At 41.7% G+C, this 26,676-nt stretch overlaps 1 protein-coding gene across 73 annotated transcripts in view, besides 2 other annotated features; it reads left to right on the top strand.

The window, feature by feature from the left end:
• The window catches only part of ANKS1B (ankyrin repeat and sterile alpha motif domain containing 1B), a 1,250,151-nt gene that overhangs the window by 1,067,268 nt on the left and 156,207 nt on the right, over positions 1-26,676 (top strand). For 16 of the 73 annotated variants that reach the window (NM_001352216.2, NM_001352213.2, NM_001352214.2 and 13 more), the window contains exon 1: positions 22,895-23,039. The exons of 50 other annotated variants lie outside the window; for them this stretch is intronic. The gene's annotated coding sequence lies outside the window, so the exon portion shown is untranslated. Of the gene's footprint in view, positions 1-22,377; positions 22,537-22,894; positions 23,040-26,676 lie in introns of those variants that run through there. 7 more of the 73 variants (NM_001352211.2, NM_001352212.2, NM_001352210.2 and 4 more) reach the window with 1 other exon arrangement.
• Positions 7,414-7,962: an enhancer, noted in NCBI's record as "OCT4-NANOG hESC enhancer chr12:99303485-99304033 (GRCh37/hg19 assembly coordinates)". NCBI's record gives its function as "activates a minimal SCP1, AML or CMV promoter by ChIP-STARR-seq in naive H9 embryonic stem cells {active_cell/tissue: H9 hESC(naive)}" and the evidence as "EXISTENCE:reporter gene assay evidence [ECO:0000049][PMID:30033119]".
• Positions 22,601-23,100: an enhancer, noted in NCBI's record as "H3K4me1 hESC enhancer chr12:99288347-99288846 (GRCh37/hg19 assembly coordinates)". NCBI's record gives its function as "activates a minimal SCP1, AML or CMV promoter by ChIP-STARR-seq in primed H9 embryonic stem cells {active_cell/tissue: H9 hESC(primed)}" and the evidence as "EXISTENCE:reporter gene assay evidence [ECO:0000049][PMID:30033119]".

Raw genomic sequence — 26,676 nt, 5'->3', positions numbered from 1 at the left:
GATTCATTAACTGGGATAAATAATTTTTCATCCCGAATACTCACAGCACTTCAGCTGATACAAAATAAAAAGCAAAGCAAAAGCCTTCTCATCTTGTGGTCTTACGCTTCGTATTAATTGGACTGTTTTTCTTGTCTGTCTTCATGCAAATGGAAATTGAGTAAACCTAGAAAGAAGGGCTAGGGCACTGAAGGACCAAAGAGTGATGTCCTCTCCACTAGGCTTTAGCTGGGACTTTGAGGCAATGAGATGTTAGGTTTGCAGGGACACTGGCTCTCTGGAGCATAAAGTGGGAGGGATGGGCCCCGACATTTCCTGAGGGTAGCATAGGGTGGGGAAGGAGCCCCTGGGATTCATTCTACCTGGGTCCTAAGACCCTGTCTTGCCATTCACCAGCAGTGTGACATTGAGAAAGTTGCTTAACCGCTCTCTATATCAATTTCTCCAACGGGAAAATGCTAATAATAATTGCTTGAGCCCAGGAGTTCTTGACCAGCCTGGGTGGCATAGTGAGACCCTGTCTCTACGAAAAATTTAAAAATTAACTGGGCATGGTGGTATACATCTGTAGCACCAGCTACTTAGGAAGCTGAGACAGGAGGACCACTTGAGCCCGGGAGGTGGAGGCTGCAGTGAGCTGTGATTGTGCCACTGCACTCCAGCCAGGGTGACAGAGTGAGATCCTGTCTCAAAAAAAAAAAAAAAATAGTTGAATACTAGGGCTGCTATAAGGGTTAAGTAAATTAGCATTTGCTAATACCTTATATATAATAAAGACACATAAATGTTTGCTCTTATTATTGGGGATCTGATATGTACCAGGAATTGTGGCACAGATTTTTTTCTTAACCTTTGTAACAACACTAGGAAATAAGTGGTGGTGCCTCACTCTGCAATGAAGAAACTAAACTAAGGGTCAGAGAGGTTAATGGCATCTCTGCTATTCTAGCCAAGTGAGTTTCACCAGCACCATGTTCAACCACTCTGCATTGATAAGGCTGCATTGGCCATTGATGGCTTATGCTGTCGATATTTTGTTAAACATTTTGAATATCATCTCTGATGGCTCTCATCAGTTTCCCATGCCCAATGTCATACTGTAATTCCATTCTGAAAAGAAAACATTGTTCCTAACCTGTCTGTTAACTGTCTTAACATGTATGATCTCGTCCAGTGCATTTCCATGTGAATGATGTTCATTTACTCAGTAGCACTTTGCAATCCTTTCTTCCTGTGTGGAGGGTGTTGGATAGACTGCCGCCTCCACCACCTCCTTAAACGTGGCTGTCAGAATGGAGAGCAGCTCTTCACAGATGTGGAAGAGTGCTCAGCAGTAAGCTGATTTAATTGTGATGTTCTCTTGGATCAGCCCACTGAGGTATTTGTATATTCCGCTGTGACATCATCGTGACTGATCTTAGCCAATTGTCTGTTCTAAACCTTGGATTGCTCCCTGTAGCTCAGTAGCTCAGCAGTGAATCATTCTTTTTTCTTATATATTATGACTATAACTTTTATTACTTCCTGAATAATAGAAGAGTCAAACACAGGGTTTTCCTCTGAGAGGAGATCAGAACACTTAACAAACATACGTCAATAATTGTCTGGCCACAACATATCCAGGTTATGTGATGGTGGTGGGAGCGTTAAGCAGGAAGGCAGGATAGGCAAGACCTAGGAGATGGTGAAGGGGCTCCGGAGATCCCCCTCAACCTCAGCCCACCATTGTTAGTGCTCATGAGACAGACTGACGTGGCATCCAGATGTGGTGGCTGAGAGCTAGATGGGGCGGCAGGAAAGCTGGATTTGAGTCTTGGTTCTGCCCGTTCACCATGGTGTGTTTCTGGCAAGTTAATCAACTTCACTGGCCTTCAGTTTCTTCATTGAAAGGATTAATTCACTTGTTTATTCACCCATACATTTTTCTTGAGAATTTTTTTGAGTATTAGTTTGCTAGGGCTGTAGTGATAAAGTAACACACCCAGGTTGGTCCAAACAATAGAAATGTATTGTCTTGGCCAGGCACGATGGCTCATGCCTGTAATCCCAGCACTATGAGAGGCCAAGGCAGGTGGATCACTTGAGATCAGGAGTTCGAGATCAGCCTGGCCAGCATGGTGAAAGCCCGTCCCTACTAAATATGCAAAAAATTAGCTGGGTGTGATGATACATGCCTGTAGTCCCAGCTACTCAGGGCACTGAGGCAGGAGGATCGCTTGAACCTGGGAGGCGGAGGTTGCAGTAAGCTGAGATCACACCACTGTACTCCTGCCTGGGCAACAGAGTGAGACTCTGTCTAAAAAAAAATTCTGTCTCACAGTTCTGGAGGCTAGAAGTCTTAGAAGTCTGAAATCAAGTCTGAAAGATCTGCTCCAGATCTCTCTCCTTGGCTTGTAGATGGCCATCTTCTCCCTGTACATCTTCACATCATCTTCCCTCTATGGATATCTCCTTCTCTTCACATGCCATTCTTTCTAGAAGGACGCTAGTCATATTGGATTAGGGGTCCAGCCTGCTCCAGTGTGACCTCATCTTAACTAATTACATCTGTAATGACCTCGTTCCCAAATAAGGTCACTGGGACTTACTGGGGGTGGTGGGGGGAACATAATTCAACCCATAACAAGTTCTCAGCCTTATTCTGATGCTGAGGATGTAGCAGTAAACAAAGAAGACAAACAAGCCTGCCCTCATTTAGCTTACATTCTAGTAGGAAGAGAAACAAAATAGGTAAGTAAAATATATAGGATATTAGAGGGTAATAAAGTGCTCTAGAGAAAAGCAGAAAGGAGGGATGAAAAATCATCCTGGCTTAGGGAAGTCTATTTCAAATAGAGTGGTCAAGGAAAGCTTCAGTGAGGAGGTTCATTTGAGTAGTCATGAAGGAAATGAGGAAGCAACCCATGCAGATACATGCAGATACCTGGGGATGGGGAAGGGAAGGGTGGGGGTATTCCAGGCAGAAGGAACAGCAAATGCAAACACCCCGATGTAGAAAAATGCCTGGAGTGTTCACTCAACAGTGAAGGGAGGCCAGTGAGCTGGAGGCAGGTCAATAAGGGGGATAGTGGTGGGAATGGGGGTCTGAGAAATAAAGGTAGGGATAGGAATAAGGAAGGAAGGTAGAATATCAAGGCTCCTAGAGACCACTCTAAGGACTTTCTTTGGCTTTTACTCTTAAAGAACAAGGGAGGCACTGGAAGATTGGAGTAGACATGACTGCTGAGGACTTGTATATGGCATATGAAAGTGTGTTAGACTGTTCTTGTGTTGCTATAAAGAAATGCCTGAGGCTGGGTAATTTATAAAGAAAAGAGGTTTGTCTGGCTCATGGTTCAGCAGGCTTTATAGGAAGAATGGTGCTGGCATGTGCTTCTCCTGAGGCCTCAGGAAGCTTACAATCATGGCTGAAAAGGTGACAAGGAGCCAGCATGTCACATAGTAATAGGATCAAGAGAGAGTGGGGAGGTACCATACTTTTAATCAACCAGATCTCATGGCTCACTCATCACCAAGAGGATAGAGCTAAGCCGTCTATAAGGGATCCGCCGCCATGATCCAAACACCTCCCACCAGATTCCACCTCCAACACCGGGGATTACAATTCAGCGTGATATTTGAAGAGGAAAAATATCCAAACCATATCACATAGAAAGGAAGCAATGAGAGATAAGCCCATGGATTTTGGCCTGAGCAACTGGTGGCCCGGATATACCCCTAACTGACATAAAGAAAACTGCTAAGAAGAGCAGGTTTGGGGTAGAAATTGACAGTTTGTGGGAGGCCAAGGCGGGCAAATCACCTGAGGTCAAGAGTTCAAGACCAGCCTGGCCAACATGGCAAAACCTTGTCTCTACTAAAAATACAAAAATTAGATGGGTGTGGTAGTGGCACGCGTCTGTCATCGTAGCTACTCGGGAGGCTGAGGCAGGAGAATCACTTTAACCCAGGAGGTGGAAGTTGTAGTGAGCTGAGATTGCACCACTGCACTCCAGCCTGGGCAACAGAGCAAGACTCCATCTCAACAACAACAAAAAAAATATGAAGAAATTGGCAGTTTGTTTTTAGACATATTAAGTTTGACAGGCCCACTAGACAACCAAGTGAGCTGGAGATGTACACTGAGGAAGTGTCAACATGTGGGCAGTGTTTAAACTCATGAGCCTGTACAAGATCCCCAAGGGGATGAGAGTAGATCCAGAAGAGAAGCAGGCCACGAGCTGCACCTTGGAGGATCCAACATTTAGAGGTCGAGAGTATGAGGAGGAATCAGCAAGAAGACAGAGAAGGGGAGGCCAGAGAAGTAGGAGGAAAACCAGGAGAGTATGGTCCTGAATGTCAAGGAGGAGGGGTTGAGGTCCAAGCTAGGAACTGGATTTAGCTAGGTGGAAATCACTGGTACATGATTGGTACATTGTTACATGGAAATCAGTCTACACATCAGTAGAGGGTGGGAGAACATCTGACTGGAATGAATTAATGAGAAAATTGGAGACCCTAAGTACAGACTTGGGAGCTTTACTGTAAACAAAGACCAAAAAAAATGAGTTAGACTAATTCAGACATTTCATATTCAAATGCTTTGAATGGTCAGGTGGATAATACAAATGAGTAAAGTGGTGTATGATAGGATATGATGTAAAATGTGGAGAAATAAAAAGCACATGTCCTGTCTAAAGGTATTCTAATAAAAATAGAAACAAATAATATATGTCAAATAAAAACAACTCTAGGCCACCAGTTTGCAATACCTGGGTAAAATGATCTCCAAGGGCACTTTCCATCTAAAGTTGTGCAAATCTAGGTCACAAGGAAAAATTAAGTCCGGGTCATTTAATGTTGAGTCCCTGAGCTATAAATAGTCTTGCTTCTTTCTGAACTGAAGCTAAGCATTTGTCATGATTCTCCCAGGATTTGTGATGGAATCCCTTTTGTTCTTAATCTGCCGGTAAAAGCTAGAAACCAGAGTTGCAAAATGAAGACTTGTTAGCACCAGTCTCCATCCATCAAACAGACAAATATTTATTAAGCAACAGTTCTATATGCCAGATACTGTGTTACTGAGACCATTCGTGCCTTCAAAACTTCAGAGTTCACAGATTAATGAGGGAGGCAGACAGGTAAACAAGACACGTGGTGTGATAAGGAGTCTAGCAGAGAGAAGCATGGTGTGGGCAGTGGAGGATTCACCTCCCACAGGTTAGGGGAGCAGGATCAGGAAGACTTAAGGGGGAAAAAGTTGATGCTTTGGCTGAGTGTTGTTGGATTAACTGGAGTTAGCATGGAAAGAGAGGAAGCTTACAAACATGACTAGAGTGCAGTGCAGCTACTTCTCTGGTAGCGAGTGCTCAGGATACTAACAGCAAAGTCTAGGGATCATTATGCTCAGAGTCGTGATGAAGAACAGACACTCTGGAGCCAGGCTGCCATGGTTCATAACCTCAGCTCTACCATTTACCAGTGACCCTGAGTAAATTTCTTAACAACTCTGCCTTTAAGTTTCTTTATATCTAAAGTAGAGACTATAACAGTACCTATTTCAAAGGGTTCTGGTGAGAAGTAAGTACATTTAATAAAGCATTTAGAAGTGCGCCTGGTATGAAGCAAATCCTATGTGTTTGCTGTTATTATCAAGAAACCATTTCAGGAGGAGGTAACACATGAAAGAAGAACAGCCTTCCAGGCAGAGAACTAATTGAAAGATGCTAAGGGCAGAGAGTCCCACAGGCAAAGGCACCCAGTCAAGGTGTCCCTGAGGGATAGGAAAGGGTTTGATTGAGGAGAGACTAGATTTGAGGCTAGAGAAGTAGATAAGGTCATGATTATATGCTTATTTCTTCCTCTGCTAGTAATAAATGACTTAGGCAGGGTGAGCTTGGGGGTCAGCTCTGACCAAACCATGGGGAGATAGTTTGTAGGGGTGCATACACAGGGTTGTTACTTTGCCAGGACAATAAAAGGACCAGCACACCCGGTGGCTGTAGAACAGACTTGTGACCTTGCCTGTTTTGCACACACCAGACTGTAGGAAGCGTTATGGAGAATTATCACTTGGCATGAATCCAGTGGCCCACTGACACTGAATCATCTGCTATGGTCTGTTTAAAAGACCACAATCCCCAAATTGATTATAGTCCAAGGTAGTGCATTCATTTCTTAGAACAAAAACAATCCAACTCATGCTCCTGCTCTCCCTAATGGACCACTCACTATGTTTTTACTCAGTAAATATTTGGGGAAAGATTTGTGTTCATAATCTCAACATGGAGATTAGTTTCTCAGGGCCATACAGTTGACATTACTGCCAGTACACCCAAACCTCCTCAGGGCTGTATAATGCTTTCTTTAGGTCCCTGAAGACTCTGGAATTAGCTCAGTTTCATCATCTTGACACTATGATTCTACAAATGCAATGACAGCTGTTTCTCAGTGAGGCATAAATCCATTTTTTTAACCCCAGAGTCAATAGTACACAGTTTTATAGTAAGCAGTCCAAGGAAACTTTGGTTAGGATCTTGTCACTAATATAAAATTTATCAGTAAAATATCACAGTTTAAAAAAAAAATCTACCACAGAATTTTTATCTCCAGATGGTGGTGATGGGCTTGTCATTGAAATCCCGTAGCTCTTCCTCAATTCTCCATATGTTGACAGAGAGCCCGTGCAGACATCTCCATAAATGTTACCTCTGTGTTTTAAGACTTTTGCCAGTATCCTGCCTTGCCATTTTCTATGATTGTCAGATTTGGCTACTTTAAGGATTAGGATGCTTGTTTGTTATTTCCTATCGCTAGATCATATATTGGCACTGCTTCACTGGAGATTATTGGATCCATGATCAACAAAACCACACTAAAGTCAAAAATATAGAACCAATTGACTATAGAATGCTCCTTTTATGTCAATGAAGACATTTGGATGGTGTTGGCTTCATTGATTGTTGATTCTATTTCACATTAAAACTAATTTTAAATGCACTATTTACAACAAGTTTCTACAAATTTACTAAAATTCATGGGATTGTTTCCTCTGCTGATTTACATATTGGTTTATAAGTCTGGTAATTTGCAGTGACACTATTTCTGATGTATTCCATCTCCATCTCCTAATTAAAGTAAGTTTTGCATTTTTTCTGAACTTTCAGCATGTTCTCTGTATTTTTCATTGAAGCTAATTCTGTTTCCTCTGCTCTTTTGGGAGCCTGATAATTAAATACATTTCAGGTGCCAACAAGCTAAATATCCCCCTCCCTTGCAATCCTGTCCTATTTTCTTCCCTTGTTTATTATTTCTGTTTTAAATATCACTATATCATCCTCAACAAAAGCAAACATGTATTGAATGTCTGCTGTGGTGATGACATTACAGTCAGTAACATGAAGATACGTAGACTGAGATGCGTACAGACACATATATACATCTATATATATGTATATTTGAGAGTCAAAGTTCACTTCCTTTGTGTTGTTAGTCTCCCTTGTCTTATTTAAAGCAAAACTATATTTCCTTTTAGCTTCCCTCCTTTTGAATTCTAATACTTTTCTTTGTGGTTTGACTGATAGAACATTGCTCAAAAAGCCCAGATAGGCTTGGAGTCTGTCAGGAAAAGAGTTAAAACCCTCCACCTTCCCAGCTAACTGTGGCCCACAGGCTGCTAATTAGCCTGATGGATCAGCACCTGGTCTGCTTATGAATGCTCAGAAGCCCATTGGCTGCTGGCAGCTGATTCCCGGCCCCCTGAGGTATGGAGCTGTATCAGCCTCAGCAGAGAAAGCTGGTACTTGCTGAAAGGGGAGCTGTAGCCAATTATTCATGTGCTCCTTTGGTCTTGACTTGGCTGAATGAAGAACCACGCTTTTAGACACATTTGAGGCAGCCTTTTCTTGCACAATGAATTGCATCTACCTGGCTAGCTGGTACACTTTCCCTTTTTGGTGTCATCACAGTACAATGACTAATATCAGCATGACCCTACAGTTATCTAAGGGATAACGAGTTATGCTATATATTTTTTTCTTATGCTCCTGTTCTCCTTTTCCATTTTGACTTTTTGTTCCCCAGGAATGCTTAAAGTCAATTCATCTTATCCTTCTGCTTTCAGTGAGGTTTTAAAATATACATATGTGGATAATGCCTGGTTTATACGATGCCAGAACTCTAGATAGTCTGCTAAAGTGTCACTGACCAGGAAGGCATTGTGTATGGAACATGAATGTCTGTTTTTGCTGCTTACTAGCTGTGTGACGCCAGGCAAGTTTCTTAGCCTCTCTGAGCCTCATGTACCTCATCAGTACACTAGGTAAACTAATTTCTATATCAAAGCATCGTTGAAGTTACTATACAAAAGCATATTCATCTCCTTCATTTAGTAGTTGCTACTCACATTTATCAGCCCTCAACATTTGAGTGTTCACTCTGTGCGGAACCTGATGGTGGGGCCTGTGGAAGAATAGAAACCAAACAGAATATACATATATATACAATATAACAATATACTGCTGTTATACCCTCCAGAAATGCGTGGCCTGAACAGAGAGGGAGGTCACTCAGAGGAAGCATTCCAAGAATAGTATTAGAACCACACACCAGCTCTGCACTCATCTTCTGGCACAAGCTGTCTGTTTTCACTTGTGCCAACGTGGATGTGAATTTCAATGCCTCTTTGAGAACAGACACTGAGCCCCTCTCCCGCATTTATCTAATCACACACAAAAGCGTTAGTCAGCTACACAGCCTTTACTGAAGATTTCATGACGGTGGGTAGGTTGGGCTGTTTATAGCATAAACCCAACCAAACAATTTGTTTAGAACCCCATTCAATATTTCCACTTTCTAAAGGACATACTGTCACTCCTGTTCTCTTCCCCTGCAAATGCTTCGCCCTCACCAACTCTTTCTTTGCCACCTTCCTCTTGGGAACAATGGCAAGGAACAAACACTACTCCTTGTCATAAGTGCAAAAGTTAAGCAAGCTTATTGGGTTATTTTAGTCTGTCCATGGTGACTCTTCTCCTCAAGCAGCTTACCAAAAGATTTCTTCCTAACAAATATAGAATTAGAGGAATGCAGGTAGATAAAATTACCTCCATCTCTTAATATACATGTCATCTTATTTAATTCTCACAATATCCTTACCAAGTAGGCATTATGATACCAGTTTTCCAGATGAGGAAACTAAAACTCAGAGAAGTTAGGGAACCACCCCAGTGTATAAACCCTACCTTGTATATTGGTTGTGAAGATTAAATGGGATGATATATTGTTAAGTGCTTGCCCAAGTGCAAGTCACAGAGAAGGTAATGGTAGCCTCCCCAGCAGTAGAAATAATGGAAGCAGACATAACAGTAGCAACATTCTTGTCCTATCCAGCTTGCATGGATATTACAATAAATGTCAACTACAGGTCTGGCTATATATTTTGCAAGGCCTGGTATAAAATGAAACTGTGAGGCCTGGCCAGGGACAGGGAAGTCAATCTCCCTTTCCTACAGGCCCACCACTCCCAACCCACAGCAGACAGGTGACTACCCAACAGATTACAATCCCTAGGCCAGGATGTGCTTGGTACTTGAGTCAGAGATGGGTGAAAGACTCATGCAGAGTCACCAACTGTATTGCCCCCTGTATCAGTCTGTTCTCACACTGCTAATAAAGACATACCTGAGACCGGGTAATTTATAAAGAAAAAGAGGTTTAATGGACTCACAGTTCCATGTGGCTGGGGAGGCCTCACAATCCTGGCAGAAGGCAAAGGAGAAGCAAAGGCACATCTTACATGGCAGCAGGCAAGAGAAAGAATGAGAGCCAAGCAAAAGTGGAAACCCCTTATAAAATCATCAGATCTTGTGAGACTGATTCACTAGCATAAGAACAGTATGGGGTAAACAGTTTGGTTCAATTATCTCCCACTGGGTCCCTCCCACAGCACGTGGGAATTATGGGAGCTACAATTCAAGATGAGATTTGGGTGGGGACATAGCCAAACTATATCACCCACCAAACAAGCCATGATGTTGCAATTAGGGACAAGGATGGCTGCTGCCTTGCCTACCCCAAAAAGCCATGAGGTGGATGACCGTCCATGTCGAGACTCCCCCACCACCACCATTGGGGGAAGAGAGTGGTCAAGGACTGAATCCAAGCTGGTCTCTTTCCTCCCCCTGCCAGTGCCACCTGATTGCAGCAGTGGTTGTGGGGTAAGGGGGTGGAGTGGGCAGGGCCCTGAGCAGGACCAGCATGAGACAGGGAGCTGGCAGCCAAAAACCCATCCCAGGAAGGCAGGACGGCATCAAGCTGAGGTTCCAAGCCCAGCACATGCTCCACAGTCCCATCAGACCTTGCTTACAAAATACTAATTCCAAGTTAAAGTTATTTGGAATTACAAGACTGTGACTGCAGAGAATTAAACCAAGCATGGAGCCCATCTTCATATGTCCATCAAGATAGCCCTGACCAACAACGAATATGCAAAGGGGAGATGTTGGACAAAGGGTACAAACTTGCAGTTATGAATAAGTTCAGGAGACCTAATAATATAGCATGGTAACTATAGTTAATAATAATGTATTGTATACTTGAAATTCACTAAGAGAGCAGATCTTAAGTATTCTCACCATACATACACACACACACACACACACACACACACACACACACACACACAGAGTAACTATGTGAGGGGATGATATGTTCATTAGCTTGATTGTGGAAATCATTTCACAGTGTGTATGTATGTCAAAACAACATATCATACACCTTGAATACATACAGGTGTACATGTTTTGCTTGTTAATTCTACCTCAATGAAACTGGAAAAAAATAAAAACAAAAATTATTTAAAAAACAAATGAATATGAAAGTGCTTCAAAAACATTTAATGCTATATAATGCATTGTTGCTGTAATCACCATTATGCAATAATATTAGGCCCCAGCATCTCTACTAGGTATTTAATTAATATCCCCAGATTTGTAAGCACAAGGGAGAGCTTTGATTCTTTTGTTTTTCAATCAGGGAGAAAAATGATAGTTCCTTCAACCAACAGTGGCCATGCATCCTGAGTGACAGAGGGAAGCCAGTCGTCAGGGAACATCCTTGCCCTTCCTATGATTTTCTCTTGTAATATACATGCCAAGGCAGAGACACGGACTCCTCCTCAGATCAGAGTTGTGGATCCTCCCTTTTAGGTGGAGAAACTCCTGCCCTGCAGCTTCCAGTGGCATCTGTTCCCTCCCCAGGAACATGGGGCTCTCGGTCACACGCCCTCCATTAACCTAGAATTTAAAATCAGGGATATCCTGGTTCCTCGAGTTACTTCTAGATCCTGTGGGTACCAGATTGCAGCCCCCACCCCTCATATCATATGCATAGATTTGATTCCACACATTTCAATATAGCAGACCTGCAGGGGCACTTTTATGCAGTAGTTATAAGAGCATTCAGTGATTTGGAATAGAGCAGTTATTAAACCACTTCTTGTTCTACATCATAGTAGGAGAAAGCAGCTGAGAGAAAGGAGAGAAAAGCAAATTAGAACATTCTCACCCTCCATACCCACTAGGGACCCATTTAGAACAATGTAGTAATTTACTAAATGATAGCCTAATGGCCTGAAAGAGTTAATGTGGCTTCCCACATTATTTCTACTCAGTCATTTCCATTCTAAGGGAACACTGGTTCATTCTATCCCAGGTCCCAACAAAGTGTATAGATCTCGTGGATTGAGTGAATTTTCACAGCACTGCACCATAGACCTTATCCCAGGGTTCACTAGAAAGAGAGTGGGCTAACCATTCTTCTATTCTTTTCATTATTTTTTTTTATCCACTTGGTATTTGTGGCTGAAAAATGCCTGGCTCCTACGTCTCATGTCTTTTTTCTTTTTCTTCTCTTTTTTTGAGACAGGTTCTTGCTTTGTCACCCAGGCTGGAGTGCAATGGTACGATCTTGGCTCACTACAGCCTCAACTTCCTGGGCGCAAGTGATCCTCTTGCCTCACCCTCCCGGACAGCTGGGACTACAGGTGTGCACCACCATGCCAGGCTAATTTTTAAAAATTTTTTGTAGATATGGGGTCTCGCTATGTTGTCCAGGATGGTCTCAAACTCCTGAACTCAAGCAGTCCTCCCACCTCGGCCCCGCAAAGTGCTGGGATCACAGGCAGGAGCCTTTGCGCCCAGCCCTGAGAGAGGGTTAACCATCCTTGAAAGCACCTCCGCCCTACCCTCATCAGAAACTCTAGGGACCCTCATTCCTTTTTTCCTTGGAGTCTTTCTCTTGTGAGCCAATGTGGGTGAAAGCAGGCGCCACCACAAGCATTAGGTTGGGTGCGTTCCTTTGAAGGAAAGAACGTTTCAGAGCAAAGCTGTTATCTGTCACTGTTCTGACAAAGTCCAGCTTCATAGTAGCTTGCCCAGCGTAGTAGCTGCAGTGTCATGGGAAAATACACAGATCTTGGAGATGGGAATTTTTAGTTCCAGCTATGGTTCTACTTACTAGCTGTGTGGCCTTGAGCTAGTCAATGAACCTCTTAGGGACTCAGTTTCCTCATCTATAAAATAGAAACAATATTAGAAATACTAGCCTTCTGGGTTGTTGTTAATCCAGATACCATGTCAATGTATTTTGTCACCTTATAACTTGCGTCTTATAACTGCTAATTATTTAAGGAGACAGCATAGCATAATGAAGAAATTACAGATCTCAGAGGCATACATACATCCTGGACTTAATTCTAATGCTGCTTGATCTTGGAAAATTACTTAACTTTGCAGACCTCCACAGTTTTTACATTTGGGAAAAAAAAAAAGTGATACTGAAATAATAATAATAATCCTACATAAAAAGGACCTGGCACATAGTAGGTATACATAAAATGTTTCTTCCCTTTCTCCCTCTTTCCCATTCCTAGAAACATATTCCACTGGAATGCACTTCTCTTTGGTTCCTGGACCTCACGGTCAGACTCCCATCCCCTGTGGCTCAGGCAAACTCTGCTGCATCTTCGTGCTGAGTTCTCTGGATCCTCTCCTCTGCCTTCTGGGGCACTGGCAGGAGGAGAGAAGGGAGAAACCAGTCTTAAGGGCTGAACATAAAAGTGTTATTCTGACTTGCACTCATGTGATTAAAGGTCTGTGCAAAAATTGCAGGTCTTTCTAAAACTTTGCTTTTGATGCACATCCAATTCTGTTCATGATTATTTCTTAACACTAAACCAGATTCAGTTAAAATTTTAAAGAAATTTGTAGAGCTATCATGTGTCCTTGGAAGTAGTGACCCCTTCGACTTATGGTAACTCTTGGGATAAACAGCAGAACCTTCATCTTTCCCATCCAGGTTGTTTCTCCCTGCTTTTCAACACCTGTCTATTTTCTGGAGGCCCTCCAAGTCTCCTGTTTCACTCTTGCCCTCACCCTCCACTCAGTCACCTGTATGCTACATCTGTACATCACTGGATCCCTCCTCATCTTCTTTATCCCCACCCCCATAGCCCTTGCTTCAGCCTCTCATCATTTCTCACTTGGATTTGTGCAGCAGCTTCTAAAATAATTTTAATATCATTAGATATTAATTTTTATTAATTTAATTTATTAAATTATTTCAAAAATAAAATTTTCAAATTTTTAATTTGAGAATTAAATCACAATGTATATTTTTAAGTATAACATAGCACAGGGTCTCTGGCCTCTACTGGGTACAAAATAAGTGGTAATTACAAAGGTTTCAGAAACCTTCACTTGATATAAGAAAAAATTTTGCAGTAATATAAGTCTCAAAGATGGATGGGCTTCTTCAGTTGGTAATGAGCTCCCTATCACTGGAGGAGTCCAAGCCTTGATTGAGTGACTCTTTCATTAGAAGTTGTAGAGAAGATTCAAACATCAGAGGGGAGGTTGAGATAAATTATACTTAAGTTCCCTGCTGAAGAAATCAGGACACTTTACAGTTACAACTGCCAAAAATCCAACTCCAAGTGGCTGAAGTAAAATGAAAAATTTATTGGCTCATATAAGAGATAAAGTCCAAAGGTTTCAGGCATGACTGGATCCAGAGCCTCAAAAACTATCACTGGACTCCAATCCATATCTCTGCTCTGCTTTTCTCTGCGCTGGCTTCACTCTTGGGTAGACCCTCTCCACAAGATGGCCCTTGGCAGCTCCAGGCATTACACCTGGCACCCTGGTAATACCAAGCTCATCATCAGAAGCCCCAGTGAGAAGAGTTCCCCTTTTTCCCAGTAGTTCCAACAGTCTTGGTTCTGACCGTCTCTGAACAAACCACTGTGGCTGCATGATGGAATCTTCTGCTTGGCCAGTGGCTCATGGGTCCACTCCATGGCCAGCTCTTTTAAGGTTGATTATCTAGGATTTCATAGCTAAGTGTGGGAGAGTTGGGTCCCCAGTAACAAATCAGACTATTGGTAACAGAAATAGAGCACCGGGTGTTGAGCAGGAAAAAACAATGGCCATCAGCCATATTTTATCCTAAGATTCAATTATCCCAACCCCAAATTATGTTTTAATATTTATTATGTCATTCTTTCTTCCTTTGTCCTTCTAATATATTTCAAAATCCTTAATGTGCATTCCTAGAGAATTATCATAATAATGTACATAATCACCATCAAATGAGAGACTATTTTGTCCTCTAAAAATCCTGTAGAGAAAAAAATAAAATCATTTTTATGAGTCTACAATATAAAAAGTTACTGTCCCCTCCCAAGTTCATGGGCTCCTCCTCACTTACACAGCTGATAAGCACACTAGAAGGTGCTGTGGGAATGAGCTTTATTATTTAGTTCTGTTGATAAGCTGGAATAACTTCTTGATTCTGAATGCTTATGAATTTGTACTAGGGTGAACTTGATTCTCTGGTTGAATAATTATTGTGGTCCAGGCATTGTGCTAGATTTTTATATGAGTGTACTTATATTTAATCCTTAAACAACATCTTTAAAGAACACTTATCCTCATTTTACAGATGCAGAAACTGAGGTGCAGTCAGGTTAAGCAAGTTGCTCAGGGTCTACAACCAGTAAATATGATAGAGCTGAACTTGAACCACGGTCGGAGTCCATGGACTTTTTTTCTGTATATTATGCTACCTCCTTGAAGACTCCAAGTATGAGTCTCTAATATGATTTAACCATATTTTCCTAAGTGAAAAATCAGATTTTATGATCTGATTCATTTAAAGAAGGTTGTCCTGTGAAATTTGGGATGTATAATTACTTAGTAAAACAGGCATCCAGATGAGGTTACTGCAGCCTTCTTCTTTCATTGCTAACCTTGAAAGTTGCTGTAAGTGTTGACTGTGGCTGTTCTGTTGCTTAAAGGTGTGGGAAGGATGAGGTACTTACCAACTGTGCTGTACAGATGAAACTGACTCTCAGGGGCCAGTTCTAAGCAAAGGCTGCAAGCAAAAATCTTAGCTGTGGCTCAATGGAGCTGTATGTGGTTTGGGCCTTGAACAGAGTTAACAAAAGAAGTCCCTAGGTTTTAATTCAGAAGACTGGGGCAGATGGGTCTCAGTGTTTATATTCATTCCCCTTGGATTCCAAGCCTGCTTGCCTTCAGGAAAAAGTATAAGTCCCTTCTGCTCACTCTGGGTTGTATTAGCTCATAGTCAGATCTGTAAATATGCCCATGGTTAACAGGCAGTCTATTGTTTTAAATTTGTGATCCAAACAGGGATTTTCCCATGGCAAAGTATGAGGAGGCAATAAGAATAATAAAATTGGTAAGTGCTGGGAGTCAGTCTGTGTCTTACTTCTCATTAATGGCAAAAAAAAGCCTTGAGTATAAGGAAGAGCCACGCTGCTTCTGTGGTGGACATTCACCACCAATAGCCACACATGTCTGTTCACCACCCAGAGAGCCTTTCCCAATGCCTAACTCGTGGGACTCCTTGATTCCATTGAGAGAGAAAATCAGAGAGTCTGATTCCCACAGAGTCTGTTGAGTCCCCACAGACACTCTTTCTCTCTCTGACTTCTATTTTGTGCCCTCTATTAACATATGCTAACATTTATTCATTTATTTATTTTGCGAAATTGAAAACCCTGCTCTCTACATATTGGGAGGTAAAGTTCCACAATGTCATGATTATAAATCCATATTTATAGTGCTCCTGTCTCTACAGTAACTTAGTTCTGAAATATCTATTAGAAACTTACTCACATGGTTGAAAAGATTTATTTGGGCTTTGGGTTTCCCAAAACATTTCCATCCTAGCCATGTGGGCCATGTTTCATCCCACAGATAAAATGGAGAGTGTGGACGCTGTCCAGAGTCCTGACCTCAGACTTTCTCGTTCATAATTCTACATGTGAGCCTCATTGAAGATAATCCACCCAGGCCTTCCAACTACCAGGAATCAGCTAATACAAATTTGTATCCCTTGCACCCATCTCTGTCCTCAGCTCCAGGTTTATATATTTTCTGCTTCCTGCATATTTCTATTTGGAAAGCAATTAAAATTCAACATGTCCCAAGCTTTCTTTCACTCGTTCTGTAAATATTTACCTAATGCCTATTTGAGGACAAGAGCCGAGCAAAAATAGAGGTTCACATAAACAAGGTCCTTGACCTCATGCAGTCTTATAGGGAGATTTATAAGCAATTGACTAATTACTAAAAAAAATGATAAATGCAATATTAGTGGAAGCAAAGTTACTGTGAGAGCAAAAGAGAACTGCCTAGGCCAGTGCAGAGCAAGGGAAGTACAAAAATTTCCTAGAGAAAGTCACGTGTTAGTTGAAATCCATAAGGATAAATTAGAGTTGCCCAGAGAGAGTTCCACAAGATTAGAGTCCATCTCTAATTTACTTTCCTATCCCTTAGCAACCAGCTCGACATATGACATCACAGGTATTCAATAAATCTTTGCATAATGAGTAAAAGTATTTTTACAGCAATAGCACTGCCTTTGAGAAAATTACTATTATGGCATAAAGGATCATGGGACAGCTGTCTTTAGTGAATACACACATACACACCTGCAAACACACAATTTAAAACATTTCTATTTCTAAGATTCACTCTAAATTATCAGAGCTTTAATATAAAACCAAAAGGCATGCTCTCACTCTCTCTTACTTTCTCATCACCTTTTAATCCTATTTATATCTGAGACTACCTCCCTGAGGTTTGTTTACTCATCTGAGATATTTCCAGCCTTAAGTTTTGTAAGTTTGGCATTATAATTCTGAAGGACGGAGGCAGATTCTATTTAAGTAGGTTTGTGCTATGCCTGCTTTTTAGTGATATAAGTATTTTTTCCTTGCTTAAAAATGCACAAAACAAATTCAAAGATCTAACAATGTAGAATACTAAGATAAGCTAACATTGAAATAAGAAAGATCTTTTACTTTAATACTCTTAAATATGAGCGTATTTCTTCCTCCAAGAATCTCAAGGCAGTTATCAAGTATATAATTCCAATTGGCTTAAGACCAAGTCGTAAATAAATTTTTCTTACAGAATGGAATTCCATGGTTGATCCATGGAAACTGGTGTGTCTAGTTTCAGGTGCTACATCTATATGGATCTGTTGAGAAAACAGTAACTGCCTTTTTGTTCATTGTCTTCCTAACCCAGGAAACTGGCCTCATACTGAATTTGCATAATTCCCCTACATAGCTCCAGATGGAATAATCAACCCATTGGCACTTTTCCCTTGTTTTCCTGGAAATTTTACTAAAACATTAAATCCCTTCCTGGTTGAGGTTACTATCATTGGAGACAATAAGTATCTATCTATCCCTATTCTATTTCAGAGCTCTCAGACATTTTTATCAGAGTGTATACCTCAGTGCTATAAATGTGAGAGATGTTCAATAAGGGTTAATTTAAAAAATTAACTAATATTTTGGAGTGTTTATTATGTCACAGATACTATAGTTAATGCTTTACATGGTGTGTTAGTTGGGGTTCAGTCAGAGAAGCAGAACCAGTAGGAGACATATACAAAAAGATTTATTGCAAGGAATTGGCTTACATGATTGTGGAGACTGGCTGGACAAGACTGAGCTAAGGCAAGCCATTAGGAAGGGCAGGTGAAAACTCTTGTGGATGAGCCGAAACTGCCGTCCACAGGTGGAATTTCTTCTTCAGGGAAGCCGCTCTTAAGGACTTTCAACTAGTTGAATGACATTATCTAAGATAATCTCCTTTAGTTAAAGTCAACTGACTATAGACTTTAATTGCATCTACAAAATACCTTCACAGAAACACCTAGATTAGTCTTTGATTGAGTAAATGGAAACTTTAACCTGGCCAAATGATATTACCAATGTGTGGTACTTAGTGAAAAGTAGTGTGGTACTTAGTGAAAAGTACTACATATTGGTAATCTAATTTATTTCCAACCACAACTCTTGTGAAGTAGCTTACATTATTATCACATTCATATCACAAATTAGAACAGCATGGCTCAAAAAAGTAACTTACTCAAGATCACAAAACAATTAAGTTAAATACCCATGACTTGAATCCACAGGTCTTATTCCAAAGTCAGGAGATTAACTATTGCATTATACTACTACTAAACAAATGAATAAACTCTTAAAATCCTATTCCTCTAAATCTTACAAAGGGCCTTACATATCTCTTAGAAAAATTACCACCATCTTTGGATTTTTGAGACTGGAATATTCAACATGGTCCCCTGGATAATTTTTTAATACAAAGGGAGAATATAGGAAAGTGGGGAATTTTAATATTAGTCCTTTCTGATAGAAAATGGCTGCTCTTAAATAAGCAGTTTATGTTGACGGTTGCATTCTTGATGACCTGTAATGAAATTAATGCTTTGCTTTTCACTGGGTTACAGTGGTCAGAAATTGGTACCATAAGAGTTTTTTCTACTGTCTCACTTTGCAGGAAACAATATTACTTAATACAGCTAGAATATTATAAGATTTAGATACACTCCACATAAATGAACATGAGCTACATATTACATCAGACTATATATTATCTGTTTTTCAAATGACATAAATTGGAAATTGTTTTTAAGCAAAAAAATGAAATTACTGAAGAAAGAATGATTCTGACATTCAATATCCTGGTGCATCACAGAATCATGATAAGTGATTCTGTGGCAAGAATTCATGGTTTTACGCCTGCTTCTAATTATGGTGGTTAACCTCTATAGGTAGCTATTTTCTTTGCTGTAAGGTGAGAGGGTTTCAGGAAATGATTTATCCCCTTTATGCTGTTCTGGTACCTAAAAATATCTAAAATTTGACAATGAATAGGGGCTATTTTAGTGCCATAGAGTAAAAAGTCATTCTCCTGTGAATTATTTAATGTTTTTACTCCAACCAGTAGATTATACTGATAAGATCTTTATGTTTTAATATACAGTACTGGAGAATATCACCAAATTTCATTAGTGCCATGATGAAGTTAATTTCCAGACTGTAATATTTACTTATTTTGCAAAATTAACAGCTGTTTATTTTTTATTTTTATTTTTATAGATGCAGGTTTGTTACATGGATATGTTGTATAACGGTGAGGTTGGGTTTCTAGTGTACTCATCCCCCAAAGAGTGGACATTATACCTAATAGGTAATTTTTCAGTTTCAGTCCCCTCCCATCCTCCCTGCTTTTGGAGTTCCCAGTGTCTACTGTTTCCCTCTGTATGTCCATTTGTACCTATTGTTTAGTTCCCACTTGTAAATGAGAACATGTGGTACTGATTTTCTGGTTTTATTTCACTTAGGATAATGGCTTCAAGCTCCATCCGTGTTGCTGCAAAAGACATGATTTCATTCTTTTTTATGGCTGCATAGTATCCCATGGTGTATATTTACATTTTCTTTACCCAAGCATTCACTGATAGACACAGGTTGATTCCATATCTTTTCTACTGTGAATAGTGCTGCAATAAACATACAAGTGCAGGTGTCTTCTTGATATAACAATTTATTTTCCTTTGAGTAGATACCCAGTATTGGGATTGCTGGGTCGAATGGTAGTTCTGTTTATAGCTCTTTGAGAAATCCCTATACTATTTTCCACAGGGGTTGTGCTAATTTACATTCCCACCAATTGTGTATAAGCATTCCCTTTTCTCGGCAACCTCACCAACATCTGTTATTTTTTGACTTTTTAATAATAGTCATTCTGACTGGTGTGAGACTATCTCATTGTGCTGTTAATTTCCATTTCTCTGATGATTAGCAATGGTGAGCATTTTTCATGTGTTTGTTGGCCACTTGTATGTCTTCGTTTGAGAAATGTCTGCTCATGTCCTTTGCCCGGTTTTTAATGCTTTTTTTTTTCTTGTTGATTGGAGTTCCTTATCGATTATGGATATTAGTCCTTTTTCAGATGCATAGCTAGCAAATATTTTCTCCCATTCTGAAGGTTGTCTGTTTACTCTGTTTATTATTTTGCTGTGCAGAAGCTCCTTAGTTTAATTAAGCAGGATTCCAGTATTTAGAGTATGAACCGATTTTGCTGAATGGGGCTTCAGTAACGACCACCATGGACAGCGACTTCCCCTCCCAGCTCTCCCAAGAAGCATTTTCACTAGCCAGGTAGAAAAGCTGACAGAGAATTAGATTTCCATCATTCTCTAGAGGTAGTGCAGACACAAAACATCCCAAATGACTCTAGAGTGCAGAGGACTGGACATGATGAAAAAGTGATTTACACCTCCTTTCCAAATAGCCTGTAGTTCACTGCCAAGAAATGACAGCTCTTTGAGATTGCCCAATATTGTTATCAGAGAACAATATCCACAAGAGAATGATGACCTGGAAAATGTCATTCTTCGGTCACTCTCATGATTGGGAAACCAAGAAAACACTTACTTTACCTCAAGTCACAGGTGTCTGGATTGCAGAGTAAGACACAGAACTAAATAGCCTCACTTCCAAACCCATTGAAAGTTTGCTAATGTCATAAACAAAGATAGTCAAACATGCCTCCATCAAGTAATCAGGTCCCATTTATCAAAGAGTACACCAGTCAAGATGCAGGTCTTTTTTATTTTACATGTTACATGTATAGCAAGTGAATTAGACATCTAGTCTGAGCTTATGTCCTGGCCCTGCCGCTTGCTAAAAGGGCGGTTTCAGGTATACTATTATCCTGACCCTCACAGAAGCAGACAGTGGCACAAAGGTGGACAAAACAGAGGGCATTTAGAGTTTCCTGTTTAAGGAAAAGAATGTTCTTCCAAAACTACCAGTTGCAGATCTAAGCCTTTTTTTTAATCTGTAAAGTGAGGATAATATAATGAAACCTTCATAGAGTTGTAAGAATTAAATGAGATAATGCACAGATGCCTGGAAAATCGTAAGTGCTCAGTAAATGTTACCTATTATTTAATAATTCATTCATATTTCTATTTTAGAGCCTGAATGTTGCAGTTGGTCAAAATCTTCATTTGCTTTGCTTTCAAGGCAGTAAATGCCTAGCCTTAAAGTTTAGCAAGTGAATGTCTCCTGAACAACAGGGTTGATTATTAGTACTGCTGGAAGTTCCTCATAATGTTAACCATTTCTTTATACTTTTACTTAAAGTACCGCCATTCCAACCTATTCATAGACCATTGGGTTGGTATTACCTTGTTTTAAGACACTGATTCTTCTCTGTGGGAATCTGCGGTTGTTACCCCAGACTAAGTGAGCAACTCACACTTACGGATGGAACTTGTAAGCAACAAAGAACTGAAGCCTGTGGGTTACCTGACATGCTCATTAAAATGTTGTGGTATTAAGCAGCCTGTAAGCCACAAGTTATTTTTATTTATTTATGGCAAGGGGAAAAAAATGGGATTTTAAACATGAGAGAAAAGCCTTGTCATTTAAGGTCGGATTTAATTGGCATAATTTTTGGGGGGAAAAACAAACAAACAAAAACACAAAACCTTTGCCAAAGTAAATTTCCACAACTGTTGGTAGTAGTACAATGGTAACTTTGGTGGAAACCGGAGGCAGGAGTGAGGAGTATTTGAACCTTATCAAAATCTCACCCGTGACCCTCCAAGTCTACTGGAGGCCGATCATACCCGCTCTGAGAACAGCTGGAACGCAAGTCCCACAGGAGAGGGCCACCGGCGCACACAAGTTGAGGACTGCCGAGGCGTCTCCTGCGAGGTAAACACGAAGTCGCTTGGTTAGTGAGAAGAAACCCGAGGTGGCCTCTGGGGCAGACAGAGCAGGACCTGCTTCTGCCCCTTGCCCTCCTCGTCCTCCTCTCTCCAGCGGCGGCGACCGCAGTAACAGCGGCAGTGGCGGCTGCTGCCACTGCTCTGCCGCTGCCGAGCCGGTCACCTGGGCACCCGCGGAGCCGCGCCGCTGCTACCGCCCCGGCGGCCTCCCGGAGTGCGCGGAGGGGGCGGCGGAGGAGCGAGATATCCATAGTAACCGAGGATGCGAGGGGCGCCCAGCAGCAGCGAGTGCCTGGGAGCCAGGAGGAGGCCCCCGCGCGCCGGCAACCCCCAGTGCTAGGCGCCCTGCAGCCCCCGCGCGCCGCGCCTGGGCCCGCATCGCTCTCGCAGTGAGGGTCCGCCCGAGCGGTAAGCCCTCCCCGGCGGCCAAGCCGACACCTCCCCCCCGCCTCGCCGCCCACCCCGGGCAGCAGCCGCGGAACAATGGAGAGCGCAGCCAGCAGCCCTGGAGACGGCGTTCGGGGGAGGACGCGCCGCCGCCGCCGCCGCTGCCGCCAGGGCAGGCGCGCGCCGCGTGGAGCCGGGCGGGTGCGAGGGCGCGCGGCGGGGGGTGGGGGGCACGCGCCGCGCGGGGGGCGGGGGCAGTGGGGGGCGCGCGCGCGGGCCCGGGGAGCTCGCGGGGAGAGCCCGGCGCTCGGCGCAGCGCGGCGCGGCCAAGCTCCGCGCCTCTCCCGCCCTTCCTCGGCGCGCTCGCCCTCGCCTCGCCGCTCGCATTCGCTGGGGGCGCCCAGAAAGATGCACAGAGGCAACGGCTAGGGGAGCGGAGGTTCAAGCCACATGTCTGCGTCCTCGGGGGCCAGAGCCCGCCAGCCCTCGCGGATCCCGGCTCGCGGCCAGCCCGAGCGGCTCGGGTGAGTAGCGGCACAGCGGCCCCCTCGCTCCGCGGCCCCCGCTCGCCGAGACGTGGCTCCAAGAAGTGGTGCCGCAGCCGGGGCAGAGGCGGAGGAAGCCGAGTCGGGCAAGCCGGGAAGGCTGCGGAGACGCTTTGCCGGGGCAGGTGTTGCAGCCTCAGCTAGCGGTCTCTACGGAGGGGGCGGGAGGGGGGCTTTTTTTTTCAAACCTGTTCTGGTTATCGATTCCCCCACCACCCCCGGGTTAAGCGCATTTTCCATTTCCTTTCCTCATTCTTGGGGTTCCGAGGAGTTTGAGGAGGTAAATTGCTGGGTGTCTCTCCAAATGGTTTGACTTTAACAGTGTATATTTTCCAAAGGTCGTTTGTCTTTAATATTAAAAAGCCATGCCAAGTCCACGTAATTTCCAGGTGCGCTGTGCATCGCCTTTAAGGAATAGCAGGAAGAATAGAAGCTGGCAAGGTTGGTGTGGAGTGTGCTCCCTCTCTCTTCCCTCGTATTTCTTTCTACATTGATTAATTAGAGGGGGACGTGGGCATGGACTTTCCAATGTTAAGCCTTGGAGAGCAGGAGCAGAGCAGCAGAGACTGCGATTTGCTGCTTCGGTGAAGGTCGGGTCAGTGTTTCCAGCGAAATTCCAATTTGCGTGCTTGTAACTTGGATGTGATTTTACTCCAGGTTACAACTTGCCAAAAGCCAAACAAGGTCCTGTGTTTATCAGGATGCTGCCATCGCCCCGTATTTATTTGTTTATTTTTCCTCCAAGAAAACCAGCCGTTTATAAACAGCCCCTAAAACAAATGGACAGCTCAGGAAGGTTTCGCGTTTTCAGAGACTGGCCAGGAAGGCGAGTCCTCGCTGCATTTCTCCTCTCTGAGCAACTGAGGTGTGAGTTTGAGAAGACTTGAAATTCAGTCGCGGTGCTGCTTATGTGCGCCGGGCACGTTGGATCAGTAGATTAGAGACACGGGAACTTTGGAATTGCTTGATGATTCTTAGACACTTATAAGGATACTTGCTCTGTGGACTCCTGCATCTGGAAAGGGAAAACTACAGGAAATAGTGTTGGAATGGCAACATGAGGAATTTAGGTACAACCTAAGACTTTTCTGAAGGTTTGCACAAGTTACTAAGAGAGTCTAGTTCTCTTCTTTGGGGTGGGCTCACGTTAAAGTTAGAAGTCAGAAGGAAGAGAGGAAAGATTAGAAAACCTCTCAGAGGTTTCTTCCAAATCTGTATTCCTTGTACTCCGCAGATGAGCTCGTGCAAGGGGATGCCGCTGGTATCTGGGTTATTCGAGTCCGTAATGTTGACGGCTCTGTGATAAAATAGGCTATAATGAGTAGTGCTGGCATTATGCCACCGGAAAGGCTTCCTCAGAAGTGTTTCATTCTGTCGTTGTCTATCCTGAGTAGTGCTGGGTGTGTTAGCAGTGATTCTCTTGGACTCAGATAGAGAAGAAAGGAGTAACGAATACAAATGAAATTAAAACAGATGCATGCTGCCTGGGAGACTTGATGCCAGTGTCATACAAAAACATTGTTACAAATATTTTTTAAAAAAACCTTCAGAATGCAGGGGGAAATATGATGTTGGGGGGCAAAATAGTGAAGTATCAGTGCTCCTTGTTCAAGGATGGAAACCTTGTCCTGCAGTTGCCAAACTTAATGTTACTGCATTGGAGTTACTTTGCTTGGTGCAGTTTGGCACCTTGAGTAGAAGCAATATTTTTTTCTTAAGCCATGACAGTAGAGTGACAATAGATTCATGTGTAGAAACGGGAGACAACCATACTGTTACAGTTTCCCTAATGGGGGCCAGAAGGAGAAAACAGTGTTTTGCCTCTACCTGGAGATCAAATCTCCATTAAAATAATTTTGAAATATAGATACAGCATGGTGTATTATTTAATATGATATTTTGGGATAACTAGTTTTTAAAAATAAAACTGCATAAGTGCACTTATTTGTCAGCAGTTTAAAGTGATAATCTCTGAATAGTTACTAACAACATAAAAGTTTGCAAGTTTAGCCAAATTTCTATACATGAATCGAATTCTGATGCATTTCTTGTCTATTAATTTACTGCATATGATTACCTTTGGTCAGAAATGTTTAGGGGATCACTTCCTTTAAGATAGCGGTACTATATTTGTTTAAAGTTAGTCTACATATTCGAAATAGGGTATAAATTGACAGAGTACATTGTGGGGGAAGCCATTCCTAATAATCGTTTATGATGTTATTATTCTATTTTAAATGTTGGCAGATGTTTTCCAGTTTGTTATCAAGCCATTCTCATTGCACCATTCATTGAATAAGCATATTTGAGCACCGTGTGTTTCGAAGTAGGTTTATCCTTTCTCTAAATGAAAGGCAGACATGTTCTCAAAATCTTATATTGAAATAAATGCTGTGGCATTGACAGTGTTTATAGCATTGGCACATTCTGTAGAAACACCAAGGAGAGTTTATTGATGCCCTCATTTCTGACCAGATGCTGGCATCAACATATGTCATAGTAATATCCATCAAACCAATAAATGTCCTGAGAGGAATGAACAATTAGCAAAATTAATTAGAAGATCTGCTTGATTAAAGTCATTAACGATCATGAGTAAAACATTTGTATTTGTATAGGTGTGTTTGGTTTTTACACATTTTGGATTTTATAGCAGTAACTTAGACTTGGTTAATATTTACAAGTGCTAGTAATCAAACTATAACATCTTCCATGGACCACCAGTAATTAACAGAAGTGTGAATAGGCTCCAGTTGACTACCCATTTTTTTCCTTCTGTGGGCAATAGCCAACAACAAAGCATAAGTGTTTGCTATTTAATTTAATAGCAGTATATATCAATAAACTGAAAAAAAGTATGCATATTTGAGTGAATATGCATTGAGTGAAACATTACATTGGCTATTATATGTAATGTTTTTACTCTTGTATATGTATTTGGTTGCCTTAAAATGGTTGTTTTCAAAGTGCAGTGCTGTCAATATATTTAGTAATTTGCTTGAGAAAGAACATTTACGTGAATGCATTTATCTTCCCACATAACTGTCAATAATGCATTGTTCCAGAAATTATTTTTATGTAGATGTAATTTTTATGCAAAAATTAACCTTTCTTATAATTCCAGTGTGAAATGAAAACCATTCCTGTTCATCTGATTTTTTCTCTATCTTCATGGAATCATGAGATGATTTTTTAGAAGTCAAATATATGATTAAGCTGAGTTCTTTTTTTTTTCTTTAAAAAATTGTGAGAATATATTGGCTTGTTTAGATGAATATCAAAAATTAATTCTCTAAAAATCTTTATGTTTGGCCAATATTTCTCAGTGTTGGTATTCACACAGCAAAGATGTACTGGTGGTTTTCTCATATGGAAATAGGAAATGCAGAGAATATCAGAACAAAACTTGAACCAGCAGAAGCAAAAGTGCAAGTTCTAATCTTCTCTGTTACTAAATTCTTTATAGTGTGTTTGTTTTTTGGGTAAATCTCAAAACAATTTTTCTGTAAATGACTTGAATGGATTCATCTCTTTAGTGTTTGGAATTAATGTACTAAACTGAAACTACTAACCTCAGAGGATAAGCCACAAGAACATTCTCTGGGAAATCAGGGAC

The sequence above is a fragment of the Homo sapiens genome, chromosome 12, assembly GCF_000001405.40.
Source record: "Homo sapiens chromosome 12, GRCh38.p14 Primary Assembly".
NCBI lineage: Eukaryota > Metazoa > Chordata > Mammalia > Primates > Hominidae > Homo > Homo sapiens.
Note: the sequence above shows the minus strand (reverse complement) of the source record. Positions and strands in the feature narration are given on the sequence as shown.